This window comes from Homo sapiens, chromosome 15 (genome assembly GCF_000001405.40).
Source record: "Homo sapiens chromosome 15, GRCh38.p14 Primary Assembly".
In the NCBI taxonomy this organism is placed as follows: Eukaryota; Metazoa; Chordata; class Mammalia; order Primates; family Hominidae; genus Homo; species Homo sapiens.
Window position 1 is genome coordinate 26,627,094 of NC_000015.10, and position 24,387 is coordinate 26,651,480.

The following is a 24,387-nucleotide window of genomic DNA, read 5'->3' on the forward strand; positions in this document are numbered from 1 at the left end:
CTTAAGAATTCTGCTAATCTACTCCGCCTATGCTCAAAAAATCCAACAATAAAACCTGGGTGTCAACACGTTTACAAAACTGAATATTTTTAACCCACAGTTGAGACCTTCTGCTCAGAAAAAACATTCCTTTCAAAATGTTACTGCTCATTTTCAATGTACCTGGTCACTCAAGAGCTCTAATGGATATGTACAAAGAGATGAATGTTGTTTTCATGTCTGCTAACACAACATCCATTCTACAGCCCATAGATCAAGGAGAAACTGACTTTCAAGTTTTATTATTTAAGAAATACATTTCACAAGGCTGTAGCTGCCATAGACAGTGATTATTTTTACGGATCTGGGCAAAGTAAACTGAAAACATTCTGGAAAGGACTAGATGTCATTCTAGATGTCAGTAAGAACATTCATGATTTATAGGAGGAGGTCAAAATATCAACACCAAGAGGAGTTTGGAAGATGTGGATTCCAGCCCTCATGGATGACTTTGAGGGGTTCAAGTCATTGCAGATGTGGTGGGAATAGCAACAGAACTAGAAGTGAAACTTGAAGATTTCCCTGAATTTCTGGAATCTCATGATTAAACTTGAATGAATGAGGAGTTGCTTCCTATGGATGAGCAAAGAGTGGTTTCTTGAGATGGAATCTACTCCTGGTGAGGATGTTGTGAACATTGTTGCAATGACAACAAAGGATTTAGAAGATTACATAAACTTAGTTGATAAAGCAGTGGCAGGGTTTGAGAGGACTGACTTCAATTTTGGAAGAAGTTCTACTCTGGGTAAAATGCTATCAAACAGCATCCAATGCTACAGAGAAATCTTTCATGAAAGGAATAGCCAAAGTAATAAATTTCATTGTTGTCTTAAACTGCCACAGCTTTCAGCAACCACCACCCTGATCAGCCAGCAGCCATCAACACTGAGGCAAGACCCTCCACCAGCAAAAAGATCATGACTCACTGAAGGCTCAGATGATTGTTAGCACTTTCAGCAATACAGTATTTTCAATTAAGGTATGTATATTTTATAGACATAATGTTATTGGACAATTAATAGACTACAATGTAGTATAAACATAACTTTTATATATCTTGGGAAACCAAAAAATTTGTGACTCACTTCATGATATTTGCTTTACAGCAATGGTCTGGAACAGAACCTGCAGTATCTCTGAGGGTGTGCCTGTATTTACTCAGTTATTCAGCAAATGTTTATTGAGTGCTTACCGCCTGCTAGGCAACTTGGGGGAGGCGAAGATGAACCTGAGGCACTGTGAGCCCTCAGGGGCTGCCCATGTGGCAGAGACAATAATTGCAGGTTCCAAGAATTCAAAAGCAATCTAGGTTAAGTGCTATACTAAACACGAAGGGATATGGCAATCAGAAAAAGAAGCCACTTCTGGGAAGGATGACTACAGGTGAATTCTTGGAAAAACAACCATCTGATCTAAACCTAGAAGTAAAAGATTCAGCTATGTGAAGGGAAGGGCGGCTGCCCCTGGAGGGCCAGTCTTGGGTATGGACATCTGGTCGAAGCAGCTCCTGTTATCAACTGACCCTACACAGCTATTTTCGCAAAAAAAACAAAAAAACAAAAAAACAAAACAAAACAAAACAAAAAACCAACCAGCGCCACAGGGCTAGGCAGAGGAGATGGCTCCACAGGGTGGACCTCACATTCTACCTAGGTTGGTGACCCCCCCAGGGTAGCTGAGGGAGCCCTAGAGAGACGAAAGGGGGCCAGCAGAGGCCTGAAACGGCAGTCCTCAAACGGAGGCTCTCAGGCCTTGGAAATCCGAGCTGGGAGGTGTGGGGGAGTCAGGTGCAAGAGCGCCTCCACTCCTTGTGACTGCCGAGAGCCCGCGTCCCCGACTTTTACCTCTTCTGTCTGGTAGGTGGCCCACATGGGGACACGAGGGAGTCTCCCGGTATCCCGGTGCTGAGGTCCCAAAGACTCCGAGAGCCTCCGCCACGCTAACCGGAAGTTGTGACTGTCGCTTCCTCTCCATCTCTGCTCTTTACAGGAGAGGCTGAAGCTCGGGGAGGCGCAGGGGCGGAGTGTGGGGAGAAGCAGCTCCCGGGAGACGGAGGGCTTTGCGAAGCGGCGGCAATCAGGGGCGGGGCCTGGAAAGGAGGGCAGCGCGGAAGCTTGGCCCCGAGAGGGAGGAGGCGTGGTCTGTGGCTCGAGGGGCGTGGCCCGTAGCGGAAAAGGCGTGGCCCAGCTCAGGAGCCTGGCGGGCAAGCTCCTCCCTGTGCGCGGCGCTGTGCGGCGTGGAGAACCTCGCCCTGGGAGGGTGGGCCTGATTAGATTAGCACACACCGGGAAGAGACAGGCTGTCTCCTGGCACTGGCTCTTGGCTGTGGCACAACCAGCCTTATCAGCACATCTAGACCGAATGTGTTGGCAGGAGGAGGAGGGGGTATTGGTGGAGAGGTCAGAGCTTGCAAAAATAGCAGCTTCCAGTGGGGCTGCGGAGACACAGCCCCGTGTCCAGGGGATGCAGAAGTGTCCTCGTCCTTGGCTGTGGGTGAGCCCCACAAACCGAAGGTGGTAACACTCCACTTCTCACATCACCAAACTCTTCAGCCCTGGTGCAGCTTCTGAGTTCACCGAGCCCCTTCTGGTTGTAATTAGATGTAACCTGACTTTAGAAAACTACAGTCTTAGTGGGAGTTGAGATTTATAGCCATTCAAGCATTTATAAAATATCCCTCCTGTAAATTAATTAACTGACACACTGAATGTGTGTTCACCAATACTGACTCGAACGTATTTTGTTAGCACGTGTCTCCATAGCCCTGGGCACCCTGAGAACGTTTGGCTTCTGGTTAAGGTGCAGCGCCAATCCTGAGATGGGGCTGGCCCTGGATGGATACAGTACTTAGAAGGCTGTAGGTAAAGGCAATGAGAGGTCCTGGCACCCCGCAACCCTCCACGACCTCTGCCACCCCATTTACTCAGCGGTTCAACCCCAAACCCTCACCAGGGAAGGCCGCTGGGGAAGCCCTTGTGGAGCAATTATCCTTGGACTCCTGCATTCCTCGGCCAGGCTCCCGGAGGTGAGGCTCTTTCCTCTGGGTGGGCAGGAGCCCAGGGCACCTGCAGAGACCTTCTGGGCCCCTGCTCTACCCAGTCCCTCTGTACCTGAAACAGCTGTCCACAGAAGGGAAAGCTGCCAGCACCTCTGGTTATACCGTGACAGGTTCCTGTGGACATTGCAGCCCTGGGATATGGGATTTAATGGAGAGTGCTCAGGCAGTGAGGAGGAAAACACAAGGGAATTCTCCAGTCTACTGGGAACTGGAACTCTCTGGAGTATGCTCTCTGGAGCATGTGAGTTGTTTTGCTGAATTATAGTGGTTTGAACTATTACAGTTTATCAAAATCATTAGATAAGATGTCTTGAATCAATACCTTTCTCTCATAAAAGCCTTCTGAAGAACTTAGAATCAGCATGAAGAAATATTCGAGTAAGAGTTGCATTCAAAACAAAGGGTCTTTCTTAAAAACAGAACCTTTCTTTAAAAAAAGGGTCTTGCTTAAAAACTTTGCAAACAAAATCACTTGAATTAAAAAGCCATTTATTCATCTTGGCTTATTTTGGGGATCATAAAGCCCTTTGATAATCTAATGAAATCGGGGGCCCTCTCCACAGAAAATACAATCTCTCTCAGTATTGGTGTGTGTATCAATCAGTTAGCACAAAACCCTGAAGTTCATGGGATGCGTGTTTTACAAGCTCAAATTGCTTTCAATACTAGTGGGTGGAGTTCCACAAATTTGTACATCATTTGCTTAGGATGTCTGCAGTGTTTTCCTATAGAAAAAACTATGACAAAAAGGGTTGTTAGGTTTCACTCCAGATTATCAAACAATTTCATGTGAAGGTAAGAAGCCACGGTTCCTGGTGAGACACGAGGACTAGCCCAGGCTCCCTGTTTTGGAGCCACAGTGCCGCTGGGAGGCAAGGAAAGTATTGCTGGACCTAGAAGCTGTAGAGGAAGCCCTGAGTGCCGGGAGCAGGCATTCTGGAATATGAGCCACCCACAAGTGAAGCATTTATACATAGTGACTGCCCTTTCAAAATCTCCTGAGTATATACAAGCAGCAGCAACAACAAAACAAAATGAAACCTCAGCTCATCTTTAGGTGTATAATTCAGGCAGCTCAGATGAATTGCAGTAAGACATATAAACAACAAAGTTTCTTCCTGCTTTTGCAAATCTCTTGGCGTTTATGACATTAAAATGACAAGAATACACATTTGAAAGCGGAAATATTGCTCATTATTCTGCAATTAAGTAATTGACTACATTCCTTAGCACAGGAAATGAAGAAAAAATTTACCATCCCTGAGAAAGAAATGCAATTTCTAAACCAAATTTAAATATTTAACTGCAGCTGTGAAAACCACAGGACACCTGCATTTGCATCTGGTTCAGCAAGTTTATGATACAAAACCTTGCAGGTAAGTTGTTCTCAGGTCAGGGAAGATGGAAAATTGTTTTGAGAAGCTTACATAAGCCCTAGGTGGTGGTGACTTCCTTTGTAGTCATTCCTACAAGGAAGGTTAGGCTGAGGGAATCGGCACTTTTATTAACAAAATTTATTTTGGAAATTCCAATCTATTCCGTTTAATGACCAAAAACTAAATATCTAACATCACAACCAACTCTCCTCCCACAACAGACTTCGATGGTATCTAGCTTTCCATTTGTTGACTCTATTTGATGTTTAATAATAAAACAGCTTCCTTCTCTGCCTCCCTCCATCTTGCTTTAAGCATTGATTATCTACCATAGGCCAAGAACCATACTTAGTGTTAGGGATCCAGAGATAAGGAAGACAGAATTGGTACCTTTAAAAAGCTCACAATCTAGTGGGGAGAAAGAAAGATGGATCCAAGTACAATTAGAGTGATTAGGAGAAGCAGCTTTGGAAGCGAACGTGCCGAAGTCTCAAGTTGGCCTCCTACTGGCCCAGCAAGTGACAGGCGACCTCACTGTCTTATGCCTGTCACTGGATCTGTGAAGACTGCCTGCCACGCATTCTGAAGTCCTTAGCATGGGGAGGACATGGTGTGCTGAGTTAAGTGTACAGCAATGCGAAAGAAGTATATATGTAAGGGTCCTCTCACTCAGCCTAGGGCTGGCAGGAGAGGAGTCCAGTTACTGAGGCTTTTCAGCCTTTATACCTGCCGAAAGGCAGAGTGTGCATTTATTCATCCATCTAAATGCTAAATGTAGTCAGAAGATGAAGTAGTCACCTCTGTATGAAATCTGAAAGGGCTGGTGAAAAGAGATATAAGTCTCCCAGGCCCCTAAAGCTATCTGAAAAGCTGGCATAGGATAGGAATTATTTTGAAAATGTTTTTCTTTATAAGTCTAAAAAGATACTTTTCTGGAGTCGAGTAAGTTTGAAAAGCAAAATGATTGCACTGACCTACATTCAGAGGACAAATACATTGTACTGTGAGAAGAAATCTGGAGAATTCAACCTAAGCCAATGAGAACCAGGGAAATGTAAGAGAGATGCCCTTCACTAAATAAACTGTTCATGCAGGTGCTTGTTTGCCGTCGGTGTTGAGTGTGCTGGAGCAAAATGTGTCAGACTCGCTGGGTGACACCCTTGCCATGTGCCTTACTTGGGAAAGTTATCTAATTATTCTGAGCCTTAGCAACCTCTTGTGTAAAAATGAAACTAAAAATGCTCCTTTTGCAAAAGTGCTGTAGCCATTAATTGATCTAACAATGCTTAACACAGTGCTGGATTCATAACAGGCATTTGGAAAATTGTACTTTCTCTTGTCTCAAGAGCAGGGCCAGTCACCCCTGAAAGAAGACCCTCCAGAACTGAATGAAAAAGGACCCTCTTTATTAGCTGCCCCCAGCCCCCACTATTCTACAGCGAGTATACACCAAACCACAAATGAAAATGTGCTGTGTTTTCCTGAGATGCAGGTGAAGAAATCCCAGCCCAATGGTGTAGAATTCCCAAAATTATCTGGAGCAGGCTTCACCCTTTGCTCTCAAATCCCAAGTTTCATCGTCTACTCAATATCCAAATGCAATACAAGCTTGTTTCCTGAAATGTATCAGGTCACTAGCTTTTTTTCATAAAACATTTTTTCTGCTGTGAATTACTTTGAAATTATAAATTAAAATTAAACACAAATTTATAAAAGAGCTACAGTGCTAATCAAAATGAAACCACCACCAGCCATCCTACTGCAGCTGACCCTGACAGCCACCCTTCCAGTGCTCCAGGGCTCACCTCCCACCCACTCTCTCTTCCCTGTACCTTTAGAAAACCCCATCCTATAGTCAAGTGTAATGCCCAACCTGTTATTACGAACCTTGTTTTTAGACTCTCCTCTTTCCTTTAATCACCTAGCCTTGTTTCCACCTGAATTGACTCTCCCTTAGCTAAGACAGCCAGAGAGACTCCATCTTGGTTCTTTCACCGGCAGCCCCTTCCTCAAGGACTTAACTTGTGCAAGCTGACTCCCAGCACATCCAAGAATGCAATTAACTGATAAGATACTGTGGCGAGCAATATCCGCAGTTCCCAGGAATTCGTCTGATTGATAACACCCAAAGCCCCACGTCTATCACCTTGTAATAGTCTTAAAGCCCGTGCACCTGGAACTGTTTACTTTCCTGTTACCATTTATCCTTCTAACTTTTTTGCCTACTTTATTTCTGTAAAATTGTTTTAACTAGACCCCCTTCCCCTTTCTAAACCAAAGTATAAAAGAAAATCTAGCCCCTTCTTCAGGGCTGAAAGAACTTTGAGCGTTAGCCGTCTCTTGGCCGCCGGCTAAATAAACGGACTCTTAATTCGTTTCAAAGTGTGGCGTTTTCTCTAACTCGCTCAGTCAGGTACAACAAAGTGACTCCTCCATATAAGGAACATTTTCAATAAGCATTCCCTTTGCAGCCTCCTTTAGTTGTAAGTTGGTGACCTACTGTAGCCTTTTTTTGGAGAGGTTGCTTCTTCTCCCAAACTGGGCACCAAAGAGCTAAGGGAGAGGGGCACCCCCCTTTCCCACTCCTGATCAGCCTCTGGGTCTTCGTTCTTCCACTGCTGTCTCTGGCCCATTCTACTTTCCTGGGATTTGGATGCATTGATCCCACTGCCTTCTGAACCTTTCCATCCAGATGCCCCACATGCAACCCAAGATCATCATGTCCCAAATTAACTCACTGTCTTCGTGCCTCAAATGTGTTCACCCACCCGCCCACTCACGCAACCCAACCCAAACCAGAAGCAATATACCAGCCTCTTTCATTCTCACCCTAACCTCCAACAATCATTCAGCCACTATGTTCTGTCGATACTATTTCCTAAAAATCTTTCATCTCTAGAATGGGATCATGAGGTCAGCTGCAGTGCTGAGGGCTGGAGTGTTTCCACTGATGTCGCCATGGCAACGGATTAGAGGATGAGTGCCTAGACTCACAAATTGCATCCCAGAAGCATGCTTACCCATGGTGTCTAGAGTATGGAGGTCAAATACCAAACCTCAGACATGTTATGGGTTAAATAGAATAATATAGGGAATGACCAGATGCCTCACACTCTATAAGGGAGCAGATGTTCCAACTCAACACAATATAATATGAATGAATTTCTGGAATGTGCTGGTAAACTGCAGAGTCATTGCATACTCTCCTTTATTTAAAACAGGTATTTATCTGAACAATACTCACTAAATACGTGTGTATATATGTGTTTGTGTGTGTATGTATACATACACACATATATACACACATATTTATAGAGAGAAAAAACTTTAAAAATTATATATATCTCTCTCCAAATATTAGATAATCTCTAAAGATTAGATAACTTTCTCAAGTAAGTAAGAGATATATGTATCTCTAAATATATATATATATATATATATATAATATATATATATTTAGAGAGGAAGAGAGAGAGACTTTATATGTTGAAACATATGTGTACTAATCAAAGCCATAGTTTTATTTTCCGGCAACTATCTTTAATTAAGAGAATTCCAAAAGGGAATGCAGTGACTCCAGTGATATCATTCTTCCAAAGATGCTCTGAGAACTGGCTGTGAAAAACATCCATATTGCTTGGACAAGGCACCCTCATCTCCATATTTCAAAGGTACTTGAACTGGGTGAACATTACCCCTGGAGACTGGCGAGTGATTCATCCCCATTCTGACTGTGAGACGTGTATCAGGCTGGATGATCCATGCCTCTGTGCTCTTCCCCTGCTTAAACATAGCTCCTGCAGATGACCATAAGGTTAAGAATTCTATGTTCTTAAATAGTGATGGTCCTCTCTTGGGTGGCATGATTTATGGAGTTTGTATTATTAGATTTGCTAAACTGAGTATCACTTAAAATTACTTCTCTGAATCCCTTCAAGAGAGCAGACAAGGCAAAAAAAAAATGCTTAAACAGAAAGAAAGACGTTTATTTATCAGGAGGAATAATTTCTGATATTTGGCACAAGTGAATGCCAGAACCGTACCAGTCAACCTTTCTTAATGGGTTTTTTACTCCCTTTCATTTACAGAATGAGTATTTCTGTCTTAAGACCGCTCCCATACCCTTACACTGTGAAAATTCAATTGCCCTTTGATTTCATATATATGCATCTAGATCAGGATTTGTCAATGGATTTCCTCACCTCAAAGACAAATCATGTGGATTAGTGATGCCACACATTTTAGAGTTCTTTCAATGTCTGAGATGTGCTATTTTTAGAGAGCAAGTCTATTCATTTCTGAGATCATGCCTATTTCTAGTTTCTGTGCAGAACCTATTAGATTACTGCTGTTAGATAAATCACAATATCAACAGTACTGCACTTGATATAGCCGAGAAATATTAGTTTGATAGTTGTCTTTTCTGAATTGCTATTAATTGGATAAATATTTGGATGGACATCTCTGCAAGGCATTGCATAAAGCAGCCCTTTCCTCTGGAATACTGTAATCAAAGCCCAGGTAGCCAGACAGGAACTACCATGCAGGTTTCATACACCCAATCAAGCACAGTGCCGAAGGAGGGAAAACACAAGTGTTAACCTTTAGATTGGAGAATAACAGCACCTTATTTCTACTTTTTGAACAAAGGACCTTGTACTTTCATTTTGCACTAGGCCCCTCAAATTAGGTAGCTGGCCCTGCTTGTGAACTAACCTTGTCCTTTGTCTCTGACCATTCAGATCCATGTCTTCCTCCAGCATCCATGGCACCAACTTGCTAGCTTGTAATTAGGGCAAAACAGACTCTCCACCATTCTGGATACATGCTCTCCTGCCTTTCCTCCGACCTAAATGGCTCATCTTCTTTGCTACTCCCTCCAATTCTGCCTCTTCTTTTTAATGCTAGAGGGCCCCAGGGCTCCTCTTTTTATGCCACCATCCACCCACTCTTTCCACCAGACCCTGGTCTCTTCTCTATCTGCACTCCCTCCCTTAAGTGATTGCCTCTAGCTGCATGGCTGATCCTGATCATTCCATCTATATGCTTAGAATTCCTAAATGTTGTCTCCAACCAAATTTTTAAATCAAACTCCAGAATCAACTCAACACATTCAAATGGAATTACTGATCTTACTCTCAAAACCAATCCACTTGTGGTCTTCCCAGTTCACACAACGGCATTCTCTCCTTGCAGTTACTCAAGCCAACATTTCTGGAGTCATTTTTCACTCATCTCTTCTCTCACATTCTTCATCAATCTGTCTGAAATTCTATTGACCCCATGTTAAACACAGACACAGGTTCCACCATACCTTATCACCACTGTTTCTACCACCCTTGTCAAACACACCATCTCTCCCCATTCCTAGTCTAGGGGTGTCCTAACTGGGTCCTTGCACTCTTCTCTCCCACGGTCTTGTTCCCATTGGAGCAACCAGAATGATTAATGAACAACTGAAGTCAGATCATTTGCTCTCCTGTTCAAAACCCTACAGTGGCTCCCTGCCTAAGTAAAGCCTAAGTCAACATGCTCTGGCCCACTTAGCATCTCTCTGACCTTACCTCTCATTATTGTCACCTTTGCTAGCTTAGTTCTGGCAACAACACCCTCTATGTTGCTCCTCAAACAACCCAGGCATCCTTCCACTTTGCATTCGCTGTTCCTTCTGCCTTGAACTCTCTTTCCCCTAACAACCTTCTCCTGACTTCCTTACCTTAGTCAGGTCTGCTCAGATTCACCCTCCTGACAGTGGCAACCCGCACCCTCTACACGCTCCCATCCTCTTAATCCTAATCATACTCTAGATGATAGGTTTATTTATTGCACTTATTTATTATGTTTCTTTCCTTTTTCCCCCTGCTAGAACATCAGCTGCATGAGTGCAGGAAATTCTTTCTCTTTGGTTCGTAGATGTATCTGCAGCATCTAGGATGGTGCTGAGCACAAATTAGGCATTGCATAAAAATCTACTGAACAAGTGTGTAGAAGTTCTGTATAACCTGGTTGTTGGTGTGTCCCTTCAGAAAAGATCTGTATGTTTTTTCAGAGGTGTTCCAGATTGGTTGATAGCCTTGGATTACTTCCAGTGAAAATTTCTCTGCAGCTTAAAGTTAAATCCCAAATCCAGATTAGCACAGGCATGGGATACAAATTCTTGGGGCAGACATTGTCTTGGCCACCTGAAGCATTAGCGAGACAGACACATTTCCTTGTTTGATAGTTGGCGACCATTGTCCTAGAACACCCTTTTACTGTGTACCCCTTTGATTGCACCAGCTCTATGAGGACTCCATTTCAGCCCTCTGCTTGGAGGACTTGCCTAGTCCCTAGCCTCCTGTTTCTGCCTAGCCACTGACACCAAGCCACTTGGTTACCAAGGGCAAAAGACCTCAGGCTTTCCATCCTCCAAGTGCAGCTTACAATGCTTTCACTCTTAGCCGGGACTTCCTATTATTTTCTTATGAATTAAGTGATATATTTAAATAATGTGCATTATAATTTATCTGCCATTTCTAGTGGCTTTATATGGAGAGTTCTTTAGAATTGGTAGTCAATCATATTTCTGGACACTGAAGTCCCCATCCCTCATCAGCCCACCAGGGTTCTGAACCTGGTCCAAGCCTGGTCAGAGCAAGGTCACACAATGACCCCCAAAGGGCACTCTTTTGTCCTCATCCTACTCAATATCTAGGCAGATGCAGCAGGGCTGAGAGCTTGTTCTCTTTATGCCTGTCTGCCCAGTCTCTGTGATACCCGCTCCTCTTGCCTTTTTACTTTACTGGCTGGCTGCTCTGCTCAGGGCTCCCAGGATAGACGGCACCTCTGTTCTAGGTCTAAAGGTTAGATTACCTCAGTTGAGCCGTGCTCCTTCCTTCCTCTCTTCCAAGGTGATCTCAATCATTCCTAAGATGTTTGACAAAAACCATAGCTGATGACACCCATTTCTGGCTGAAGGCCGGAGACCCCTCTGAGTGCCAATCCCTTATCCAGCTGCTCTTCTGACAGCACTACTTTGTAGTCTCTTTGTCATCTTTATTCCTTCTCTTTCCTTGTTTCCTAATCCAGTTCCAAGACCCACCCCAGTTGCCTTGAGTCAGAATCCCAGGAGGTAAAGCCCAAGCCTGGCATTTTTTTAAAAGCTCCATTTGGAATTCTTATTTTTGCATGTAATCAGTCTTCATGACATTAATACATATTCTGGTCACTATTTTGATTTAAACCTTTCAACTTCACTCAAATCAGAAAATTCTATTTCCTGAAATCAACAGTCTATATTTAGAAACATGCGCATGTGTGCTGAGCCACTGGCAGAGGAACAACCCCCACCACGCTCCGCCGGGAACTAGGAAGAGTCTGTTCCGGTGAGGTGCAAGAACACAGTCTTCCACTCGCTTCTGGGATTCTAGTGGATGTCAATATGGTCTTGCTGCAAACCGTTTCAAGAGGGTCTCCAAAAAGCCATCAATGTCATGTCAACACCTGACATGACAGCAAGAAGACACAGGTCATGGCTCTAGCATCACCGGTTTTCAGATGGTTCTCACGGCAGCACAGGTGTCTGAGGATGGCCTCAGCATGAGGACCTGCCTTCATCCAGGACCTGATGCTATAATAATCATGGCCATCAACCCAATGCCCGTTGTTAATTCCAAAATGACTAGGTGTTTCAGTAAAATTAACGACAGAAATGAATACTTCAGAATACAGTAGACCCCCTGTATCTGTGAATTCTCATCTGTGGAGTCAAACCAAGCTCGGATGGAAAATATTTGAAAAAAAAAAAAAAAAGATGGTTATGTCTGTACCAAACAGGTACATTTTTTTCCTGTAATTATTCCCTAAACAATACAGTATAGCAACTATTTACATGGCATTTACATTTTATTAGGAATTATGAGAATAGAGATGATTTAATGCATACGAGAGGATATGTGTAGGATATATGCAAACACTACATCATTTTATATCAAGGACTTGAGCATCTTTGGGTTTTAGTATGCTCAAGGGGTCCTGGAACCAATCCTTCAAGGATATGGAGGGAAAACTGTACATACCCAGTACGTGTTAACTTTGCTTGCTGGCTCCTATCATTATGTAAAGGATACTTCCATATCCTACAGTGTATTCACATAGTGTATTCATATAGAAATCCCTTGCTCTTGTGAAATTCAGACATGCCAGTACATTCGATTTCTTTAAGCTGTTGGGTAATGATTGTGTTTGTTTTAATTCCTCTAATATCTGCTCCTGGTAAATGTAAACAGATGTTTCTAATTATTCCCTTTCAGTGATGATGCACACATATCAGGCAGGCAGATGGAAGATTTAGGTTTCACAAAGAGAAGGTGAAATGTCTATGATGCCAACAAGAGTTGTGAATGGATGATTTTCATTGTAAAAATCGCCATATTTTGGTTTGAAAGTCAGTAAATAAACAAGAACTATTAAATTACTCAAAACGGAGAGCATTGTTTTAATAAAGCAGGGCACTCCCTCAGCTACAAGCTGTAGTCCTGTTAAACTTTAGCATAACATCTCACACTATTCATATTCAAATGAGCTCGAGGGAGTTATGACAGAGGTATGGACCAGCCAAGCCAACTTGAGGCCACTGAATGCAAACTTTCCAGTAGCATTCAGATGGTGATTTAAAGTATCAAAACGTTGGCCGGGCGCGGTGGCTCATGCCTGTAATACCAGCACTTTGGGAGGCCGAGGCAGGCAGATCACGAGGTCAGGAGATCAAGACCATGGTGGCTAACACAGTGAAACCCCATCTATACTAAAAATACAAAAAATTAGCTGGGTGTGGTGGCGGGCATCTATAGTCCCAGCTTCTAGGGAGGCTGAGGCAGGAGAATGGCATGAACCCGGGAGGTGGAGCTTGCAGTGAGCCGAGATCACGCCACTGCACTCCAGCCTGGGCGACAGAGCGAGACTCCGTCTCAAAAAAAAAAAGTAGCAAAAGGTCTCTATTCACCATGGCACTGGTTAAAGCATCAACTATCAAGTTAATTGTACCTTTTCCTGATTTTGTGAGTAAGGTTGGATATTAAAATATAGGTTTTCCATATGTGAGAGTTGCCTCAAGTTGGATAGCAGCTAGACGATTTTTACTGTGAGAACAATAATTCAAAGTGTCCTTTATGTTTCTCATTCCTTTGCAGGCACTGCACAGCCAGGATTCAGCCACCGCGGAGATGATTACACAGCTTAGAGATACACTGTCCAAACCTCCCATGAGTTTGGAATTGTGCATGCCAGATTCAGTTGTAACATAACCAGAGATGTCAATTCATTAGCTGCTGTGTTAATCAGAATTAGGGTTTATAATTTATAACTGGCAATATAATTAACAGATGGTAATTTAATCAGTCATGATTCTCTTGCTTTACGTTCACCTTTAAAACTGTGAAACTGTTGTCGCTTAAAATGTACAGGATGTGATGTCACAAAAGCTGCAATCCTTTTGGCTGTCTCCTGCTATGCCCTGGCTCAAAATCCAACACCCTCTTCTAACCTTGTCCAGGAGCAAGGTTAAACAGAACGGTATGAGGAGTGGCGAACATCTATGAAGATCCGTAGACTCCCATCTCAGCCTCTATAGCACTACAGCCCATTATCAAATATACCTTTATGAATGACAGCCTGCAATTATCAGATCGCCTTCTGACGCAGGACATGAGGCGGAGAAATAACACCTAGAACTTGCTCGCTGCATGCTACGACTTCCCAGAGCTGGAGCCACATTGGGAGACTCTGCAGAGAAGGCTTGCTTCAGCCAGCTGGCATTTCCCCCTCACCTCTCTGGGATGCCTTCCCTCTGGCACTGGCCAGAGGAAGGCAAGACACTGAAGGGAGAGGAAAGTGAATTGACTGGCATAGCTGAGGTTCAAAACTGACACTAAAGGAGAAGGGTGCTGAAGTGCAGGAGCCAGCATTCCTATGGAATACAAACTCTTGGTTAGAATGAAGGTTTCCAGCATTCTATTTTTGCCCCTCAACTGTCCTTGATTGAAGCCTTTGGACCTGACAGGTAGATCACATCTGCCTCTGGTCATTTCCATCAGCACTGCCTGTGGGCCACACTTACCATGCCGACACTACTCTACCAGTTCATGGCTGGGCCATGGCCAGATGCCCCTTGGCTTCCCTGGCTGTGATGGAGGACAGCTGACAGCAAGACCCATACTGATGTCCTGCACTAATGAAGTGGCATCAGGAATAAAGAACAGGGAAAACAGACAGCTGACCCTTGAACAACACAGGTTTGAACTGTAGGGGCCCACTTATACACAGATTGTTTTACTTTTTCTTCTCTTTCTTTTTTTTTTTTTAGAGACAAGGTCTCACTGTGTCACCCAAGCTAGAGTGCAGTGACTCGATCATAGCTCACTGAAGCCTTAAACTCCTGGGTTCAAGCAATCCTCCCAACTCAGCCTCTCAAGTAGCTGGGACTACAGGCCCTCACCTCTGTGCCCAGTTAATTTGTTAAAGAATTTTTTGCGAGACAGGGTCTCATCATGTTGCCCAGGCCAGTCTTGAACTCCCAGCCGCAAGCAATCCTTCTGCCTCGGTCTCCCAAAGCACTGGCATAACAGGCATAAGCCACCAAGCCTTCCCCCCAGATTTTTTTCAATAAATATAGTTGGACCTCCATATCCACCGGTTCTGAATCTGCAGCCAAATGTGAGTCAAAAATAGAGGATCAACTTTTCGTGTATGGTATACATGGGTTCCACAGGACTGACTATGGGACTTGAATATGTGTGGATTTTGGTGTACTTGGAGGTATGGGGGTGGTCCTGGAACCAATCCCCTGAATATACTGAGGGGCAACTGTGTATATATATGTATACATACATTTTCAATTCCAAACTCCTGGAAAGGAAAAAATGAATCTATAAGCCACGTTAGTTCCACAGTGGCTGAATCCTAGCTGTGCAGTTCCTGCATAGCCTGCAAAGAAATGAGAAACATGAAGGACACTTTGAATTACTGTTCTCATGCTAAAAATAGTCTAAGTGCTATCCTACACATAATCCCCCCTCCTCTCTACCTGCATATATAAGCATATATGTAAGTGTACCCCCCCGCACACACACACCAAAGCAGCAATAGATAGCTGCACTGATACACAATTTTTAAATATTGTGAGTTATTTGCGAGAAAGATTATCACTCAACAGATGAACATTTATTAAATGAATTCATTTATTTATGAACTCAGTTATTGTGTTTATCCATTCATCATTTTCTATTAATTTATTCATTACATTTGCCTCACCAAGTTTATAAAAGAAATATGTCATGGACTCAGTCCACAGCTTGGGGGTTGATTTCGCTACTACACCGGTATTGCCAGTCTGTCTCAGTCCCTCGGGGCTTCCCTGCTACTCTCCTCACACGGCCCTCCTCTGTTTTCACCATCTCACAAGTCTTTCCCATCTGTCCCATCTCACCAAAGAACCCTCAGCTGACACCTCCACCCTGACCTTCTTAGACTGTCTCCTCCATTCTGCACTCTGTCAGTTGCTCATCTAACATAAGAAGGTTATCCTTAATGGCCAGCAAGATCCTGTCCCTGTGAAGATTTTATGTTTCTCCACAACACCACAGGCCCTATATGACAGTTCACCGAGGAGCTGTTCTCCCCTGGTCTCCTGCACTGCCCCGTGCCCCCATCCTGGCGGCCAGGTGCCTGACTGCAGTCATGGTGGAACACAGCCTCAGAATGATGGGATGCCAGAAAGCAGAAGAGCAAGCCATGCAAAGAGACGAGGAGCCCTCAGAGATGGCACAGCCCATTTTGAGCACATCCACCAGGCAACCTTAAACCCTCAAGATCAGAGTCACTCCATACAGCAAACTCCAAAAACAACAGCTAAGGGTACCAGCCAAAGGGTAGTTTTCAACTTCAGGCAGGAGCAATGTTCATGTTGTGGTGTCTTCAGTCTCCCTCCCATGACACAGAGGTCAACGCTCCTATCATCAGCATTCTCTTTGAACAAGGAGAACGTAATGAACCAACATGCACCCCAGCTTTCATGACACTGTGTGTGTGTGTGTGTGTGTGTGTGGGTTCACCCTACTGGTTCTGACACACGGGAAGTCCCCGTGTGACCTCAGTCTGACCTCCAAAGTGCAAACTTTCCTCCTCTTCTGTTACTTTTTCATTTATTCATCCAACAAACACTACTGGTGACCCACCACCTGCCGTCATAGGGGAGACAATAAGACACTGTCAGGATCTTGCTCATAGTCTAGCAAAGACCAAAACTACGGATCCTTCCCTTTTCCAATCACTCAACAAGTACTTGTGTAGCACTTCCTATGTTGCAGACACCGTCTGCCTTAGTGGGGCTTCGTGGAATTCAATGAGAGAGGCAGACACTGACAAACATCCACAGAAATATTACACCATGAGAAGTGACAGGGAGTTGGGCAGCGATGACTGAGGGTACCCAGGGCAGGAGGTGAGGGAAGGAATTCCAGGCTGAGGGGCCTACCAGCGGTTGCAGGGATGGACATTCAGGCCAGAAGCAGAGGGCAGGAATAGTCACTCCAAGATTAGAGGCTCTGGTACAGATTTTTGGTTTTATTTGGAAAGCCTTGAGAAGATACTGCACATTTTTGGGTTTGCACTAAAAATCTCAGTCTTCCTGCTACATGGAAAACAGTCTTCTCTACAAATTCATATGTTGGGGTTCTGAGCCCTGGTATCTCAAGAATGTGACCTTATTTGGAGATGAAGTGTTTACAGAGATGATTAAATTAAAATGAGGTTGCTAGGGTGAGCCCTTGTCCCACATGACTAATGTCCTGATACAAAGAGGAGATTTGGAGACAGACACGCACACAGAGAGAAGGCCTCGTGAAGGAGGAGGCAGAGATCAGGGTGATGTTTGTACAAGCCAAGCAATGCCAAAGATGGCCAGCCACCACCACAAGGAGGGGACAGGACTGGGGCAGATTCTCCTCCAGGTCCTCAGAAGGAGCCAACCCTGCTGGCACCTTGATCTGGGGCTTCCAGCCTCCGGAACTGTGAGGGAATGAACTTCTGTTGTTGAAGACCACGGTCTGTGGTACATTGCCATGGCAGCCCTAGCAGACGGATACACTGCTGCAGCCCATGAGGAGTGGTGACAGTGACAGTCAGACATGGCTGTGTTGGGGAGAAATTTAAGCTGCCGAACAACAGGGCCTTCCTGATGATTTGTCCATAGCCTGAGGAGCAGAAGCAAGTCCAAGGTGGGTCCACATGAGAACAGTTCCACTCAGGGACACATCAGCATGTGATGGAGACTCACAGAAAACTTGATAGGTTTGTAGTAAAATTTTGAAATGAGCTAAAAGGAGAAAATGAAAAACACTTGCAATGTCTCCAACACAAAGCTACACTTAGTGGCTCGTTCCTCTAATTTCAACACTTTTTGTAAGAGGCTAAGAAGGAAGGATTGCTTGAGGCAATTGAGACCAGCCTGGGAAACAGAGTGAGAACCCCTGTCTACAAAAATGTGTAACGTGAGCCAGGCCTGGTGGTGTGCGCCTGTAGTCCCAGCGTTCTAGAGGCTGAGGCGGGAAGGGTGCTTGAGCCCAGGAATTCCAGGTCACACTGAGCTATGATTGCACGACGCACTACAGCCTGGGCGACGGAGTGAGACCATGTCTCCCCCTCCAAGAAAAGAAAAAGCCACTTGTTCCTGCTCTGGTGAACTCTTTTGGTCATTTTCTGTTTGACAGTGACAGTACATATCTGGATGTGTGTATCCAAAGATAGTGACTTGTTAACAGAAATGGAACTATCTTTACATGCCTCATATTAAGAATATAGCCTTTCGAGGTAGGAGTCCACTCCTGTGAGGTATGGTGATGGGTGCAGATGCAATGTGGCTCTCAATAGCACCTTATGGACAGTTGTGTCCCCAAAGGAGGGATGAGAATAGCTACTGAAGTCCTAAAGAGCAACCCTAACTCAAGCCATTGGCACACAGGCATTAGACAGAAAGCTGGAAGTTGAAATGGTGGAGTCCAACTTGTCTGGACCAGCTTAATGGTTCTACTCCTGGTAACATTTTTGTCTGTGGATGGCTTGCTTGGGTGCAGATGTTTGGAGACCTTTTAAAGGACTCCGAATTCATGCTTGAAGAAATGCAGGCAGACCTGTTATCCTAAACTAGGGTTTTTAATGACCACAGCAAGCAAGCATGCAGCTTACCACTTGAAAGGGTCTTGCCTCACCCAAGCTGGAGTGCAGTGGCCTTTGAAGCTTACTACAGCCTCAAACTTCTGGGCTCAAGTGATCCTCAGCCTCCCAATGGTCTTTGTAGACCGCCTGATGGAGTCTCGTGGCACAAGAAGATTAAAACAATGTCTCCAATTTTAATAAATTTTTGCAATCCAAAAAAAAAACAATATATGAAAAATCATTTTCCACATTTCAGTAATATTTTACCAAATAATGGGACCTATTTTTTAACAACTTTAATGAGGTATAATTTACACACCAAAAATTTCAGTTGTTTTTAAGGGTACAATCGAATCATTTATTTTAGTAAATTGACAGTCATGCATCCATGACTGCAGTCTAACTTTAGAACATATCCCTCACCCCAGAAATGAACCCAGTGCCCATTTGCAGTGACTCTCCCTTCACACTCCATCACCCCAAGCAACCCCTAAGCCACTTTCTGGCTCTATGGATTTGCCTATTCTGGACATTTCAGATAAACGGAATCATATACTACGTGGTATTTGGTGCCTGGCTTCTTTCACTTAGCATCATACTTTTGAGGTACATCTATATGGTAGCATGTATCAGTGTTTCATTTCTTTTTATTGCCAAACATGATTAAATAGTATGAATAAACTAACTGGTTCACGCATTTACCAGTTAGTGAGCATGTGGGTTATTTCCACTTTAGGGAAATTGTGAATAGTGCTGCTAATCTCATCCATGTATGAGTCTTTGTGTGGGATAGTGTTCTCATTCTGCTTGGGTATATACCTAGAAGTGGAATTTCTGGGTCATATGGTAAATAACATAAGAAACCGCCAAAATGTTTTTCCAAAGTAGCTGCATTATTTCACCCCAGCAACATATAAAGTTTCCAATTTCTACACATTCTCATCAACACTTATTATTTTCTGTTTTTTAAAATTATGGTCATCCTAGCTGGAATTAAGTGGTATCTCATTGTGGTTCTAATTTGCATTTCCCTAGCGACTAATGATGTTAACTGTCTTTTCCCTATCAGCCATTCATATAACTTCTTTTTTGTTTGTTTGTTTTTGAGATGGAGTCTTGCTCTGTCGCCCAGGCTGGAGTGCAGTGGTGCGATCTCGGCTCACTGCAAGGTCCGCCTCCCGGGTTCACGCCATTCTCCTGCCTCAGCCTCCCGAGTAGCTGGGACTACAGGCACCTGCCACCACGCCTGGATAATTTTTTGTATTTTTAGTATAGACGGGGTTTCACCTTGTTAGCCAGGATGGTCTCGATCTCTTGACCTCGTGATCCACCCACCTCGGCCTCTCAAAGTGCTGGGATTACAGGCATGAGCCACTGCACCCAGCCTCATATAACTTCTTTGGAGAAATATCTATTCAGATTCTTTGCCCACGTATGTTAAAATTTGTTTTTCTTATTGTTAAGTTGTGAGAGTTATTTACATAGTCTGAATACATGTTCCTTGTCAGTTATATGCTTTGCAAATATTTTATTCCTGGCTGTGAATTGTTTTTCAGTCTCTTAACAGTATTTCAAAGAGCTGAAGTTTTAAATTTTGATGAAGTCCAAATTATCAATGTTTCCTTTCATCACTTGGGCTTTTGAAGTCATGTCTAAGAAATCTTTGCTGAGCCCAAGATCAGGAAGATTTAGTACTAAGGTTTTTTTCTGTAAATGTTTCATGGTTTCAGATCTTACATTCAGGTGGAGGATGCATTTTGAGTTTGTTTCTTTGTGCAGATCATTGGTCTGTAAATTTGCTTGTCATAGAAAGGAGACAGTGCACTCAGGCCTGGTAAAGAGAGAGCAGGTGCCAAGGCCAGGCATTCTACAGAACAGGGTACAATTTGAATTTTTTTTCAATTTGAAAAAAGACCGTTTGGAATGCAGTCTGTAGACTCAACAGAAGTGGCAGATGTTCTCAAGAGATGAAACCAAAGCCAGGCCACAGCAGGACCTGTGGGACTGTTAGAAAAGGCAGGATAAGGCAGGATCCCAGAGCGGGGCTGCCTGGCCAGCACTAGGGACAATTTGAAGGATCCAGGGGCACAGCTGCCTCCCCCACTGTTAGTCGAGGAGGAAAAGCGGTGGCCCACAGCCTTCTCAAAACGGAGACAACTAACGGGTTACCCTGGTTAGCAAGTGGACAGAAGAAAAGGGGAAAAACTTACTTTTTTAAACCAATTGTGGTAAAACACATCTAACAAGATTTACCAGCCTAACCATCTGTAAGTGTTCAGTTCAGCAGCATTAAGTACCTTCCCATTGTTGTGTTACCGTCATGACCATCCATCTGCAGAACTCTCCATCACCCCAACTGGAACTCTGTGCCCATTAAACACCAACTCCCCTGCCCCTAGCCCCAGCCCCTGGCCACCTCCATTCTCCTTTCTGTCTCTGAATTTACTGCTCTGGGGACCTCATATGAGTGGAGTCACATAGCGTTTGTCCTTTGTGACTGCTTTTTTCACTTAGCATAATATCCTTAAGGTTCATCCATGTGGAAACATGTCTCAGACTTTTCTTGCTTTTCAAGGCTCAACAATAATTTATTTTAAGAATGTTCTGTTTGCACAGAGTAATTTGGAGGTGCCTGTGGGGCAAACTAGGGAGAAGCAATCACTGTGCATGTGGAAGAGAAGCTCTAAAGCTCTAAATTTAAAATAAGTGGAGGTTTTGGCATGGATGAACTAACCATGGAGAGGGTGTACAGTGAGAACCTTATGATCCCGAAGAAAGGGGCAGAGAAAGGGCCATCAGTTAAAAATACTGAGGAGGAACAGTGAGGGAGCGGCAGGAGAACCAGGCAGTGGGAATCCCAGGTAGCCAAGAATAATGTGGCAAAAAATTTGAGACAAGGCATACAGAAGAGGCCAAGGTCTTGGGGACCCAGGAGGTCACAGGAGAGAAACAGTGTCTGTAAAACCACAGACAGAAGCCCAAGGGTGCGTCAGCAGGGCGAGGCAGGAGACAGAATCACTAGTGTGGAGACCATGGTTCCTCTCTGATGGGGAAGGAAAGAACTGACAGCGGCTGGGATTTTGAGCAGCAGGTGGGTGGACAGAAGGGGGTGCCTTCAGAATGTGGATGACTGGTGGGGTTCCAGGGAGGGGCTGGAGCTTGTGGGGTGCCTGCAGAGTGGGTGGCAGGAGGAGCTGAGTCATGGAGGAGGTAAGCAGAGATGCAGGTGTGGAAACAGCAAAGAGCTAAGAGATGAGAAGATACAAAGGGTCTGGGCGAGCAGGGAGGCAGCAGAACCATCTACTTCTCTCGCGCTGTTTTCTTGGTGGATCCAGAAGCTGGGTCATTTGCTACGGTGAGAAGCATTGCTACGATATGCGTGTATGCATCTCTGCAAAATTAATATGCTGAAGCCTAATCACCTTGGTGATAGTCATGAAGTGGGGACTTTCAAGGTGATTAGGTCATGAGGGCTCTGCCCTCACAAAAGGGATTAGTGCCCTTGTAAAAGGGCTAGAGGGACATGAGATGCCCTTCTGTCTCCTCTTCCATATTAGGACACAGCATTCCTCTCTCTCTTCTCCCTCCACCATGTGATGACCCAGAAACAAGGCAGCACCTTAAAAGCAGACCGTAGTCCTCACCAGACACTAAACCTACTGCCACCTTGCCCTTGGACTTCCTAGTCTCCAGAACTGTGAGAAATACATTTCTATTGTTAATAAATTACCTGGTCTGTGGTATTCTGTTATAGCAGCAGGAATGGACTAAGACAGGCATGACTGGAGGTAGTGTAAAGAGAAAGGTCAGGTTCTTGTAACAGCCGCTACAGGGAAAGTGAGCTGATGAGGAGAAAGGAAAATGTGCTGAGCCCATAGAAGAAAGCAGGACAGAGCCAAGGCTGTGTGTGTGTGTGTGTGTGTGTGTGTGTGTGTGTGTGAAATTAGAGAGGACAGGGAGAGAGAGAGAAGATAAGTCGATAAAAGAATGGACGGATGGATGCATAGATAGATGGTAGCTATGGAAACAATATGAAAATACACTAAAATATGGAAATATGGAATCATAGCTGTCTCTGAGGGGTGGGATCATGAGTTTTTAATTTCAGTCTTTAATAATGTTTTGTAATTTCCGAATCTCCTACAAAGGGGATATTTTATTAGTGAGATAAAACAGTCCAATTCTACGTTTAGAGATAATTGGGCACAAAACCCAAACAAAATTCTGAGCAGTTCTGAGCGTCCAACAGAGACTGAAACTGTGCATTTGTAGTGGAGCCAGCCAGCAAGTTTGTGTAGCCTTGTTCAGCTACCCTCAGCAGCCCAGCAACAATGAGCTTGGAATAATCACCACGCCAAGGCTGTGCATCTCTGAAACACTCAGTTCCTGTCCAGAGCCCTGTTGGGTGCTTCATGTACATCACCCCACCACCTTCCAAGGCTCACATTGTTATCACACCAATTCTCAGGTGAGAAAGATGAGTATTGGGTTAATGAACTCCCTTGGGATTTCACAGCAGTTCAAAAGTGGTGTCAAGTTGGCCTCACCCCAGCCCCATGCATACCCTTAGCCCCATCTGAACAGTGAAGGACTCAGACCTGGGTAACTGGGCTGGAGTGGGTGATGCTGAGAGAGGGACTTAACCTATGAGGAGAGGTCAGGCTGAAGACCCAGTAGGGCCAAAAGAGAAGCAGATTTTCAGAGGATCCCTCTGACCTCAGAAGTAAATGGAAATAGTTTCTTTTGATAGCAACAGGAGGCAGCCAAATGCCTAGACAGATGGGGTGGGTACCCAGTGAAGCCCCACCTCCAAGCTGAAGACAATTTAAAGCCTGGAAGCTAAATTTAAGTTAAATCCTCAGACTGGATTGAGAACTTGCCTTCCTTCTGATTGATCCCCACCCTTCACCTATTTTACATGTGCCTACCCTTTCCTAATTGGTTTTCTACACTGTTGTGCCCACCATTGAGTGGTGTCTTCACTTTAACCTATTTTGCATGCTCACAAACCAATCAGCATGCACTTCCCATCCTGTGCCTATAAAGACCCCAGACTCAGTTGGTAGATGGGGAGATGGTTGGACTTTGAGGAGACGGACTTCAGAGAAGAGGCGATCAGGCTTCAGGAAAGATGGCCTGCCCTCCCTGTCCCCTCTCCAGCTCCACTCTCTACTGAGAGCCATGTTCATCACTTAAGAAAGTTATCCGGCTTCACCATCCTTCAACTGTCTGTGCGACCAACCCAACCTCATTCTTCTTGGATGCCAGACAAGGGCTAGGGACCCACTGAGTATGGGTACCCAAAAAGGCTGTTACACAGGCCCTTTGCCCTCACTGACAGAGGGCAACTGCTCTGGGCACTGCCACAAGGGGCCAACTGAGCTGCTAACACACTGCCATCTGCAGACAGTGGAGCTAGGACAGCACCGGAACACGCCACCTAGGCACCACTGCAGGCCCCACACAGAGCTTGCCCCTGCTGGCGTCCAGAGGAGCTGACTGGATCCCTCACCCGCTTGTTCACACACTCCCTCCCACAAGGGGTTGAGCACATGGACTGAATAAACAGGGCACCCCTGTGGTGTGTCCAGCAAAGGGGCCAAGAAGAATACTGCATCAATTTAACTTCAGCCTTAGTATCATCCTTCTGCATTCAGCTACTTGCTGATAAAAACCAGAGGGTGTACTGACTTGTGGGAACATTCAAGTATGTTCAGAGCTATA

General features: G+C 44.5%; 1 protein-coding gene across 6 annotated transcripts in view, besides 1 other annotated feature; it reads right to left on the reverse strand.

Moving 5' to 3' along the window:
- Window positions 1-24,387, reverse strand: part of GABRB3 (gamma-aminobutyric acid type A receptor subunit beta3) — a 230,212-nt gene that overhangs the window by 83,542 nt on the left and 122,283 nt on the right. For 2 of the 6 annotated variants that reach the window (NR_103801.2, NM_001191321.3), the window contains exon 1: window positions 1,884-1,997. The exons of 3 other annotated variants lie outside the window; for them this stretch is intronic. Coding sequence is in view for 1 of the 3 variants with exons in the window: in NM_001191321.3 (NP_001178250.1) it covers window positions 1,884-1,910 (27 nt within the window). In the remaining 2 variants the exon portion in view is untranslated. Of the gene's footprint in view, window positions 1-1,883; window positions 1,998-15,339; window positions 15,436-24,387 lie in introns of those variants that run through there. One more of the 6 variants, NM_001278631.2, reaches the window with a different exon arrangement.
- Window positions 21,737-22,237: an enhancer, noted in NCBI's record as "H3K27ac hESC enhancer chr15:26893977-26894477 (GRCh37/hg19 assembly coordinates)". NCBI's record gives its function as "activates a minimal SCP1, AML or CMV promoter by ChIP-STARR-seq in primed H9 embryonic stem cells {active_cell/tissue: H9 hESC(primed)}" and the evidence as "EXISTENCE:reporter gene assay evidence [ECO:0000049][PMID:30033119]".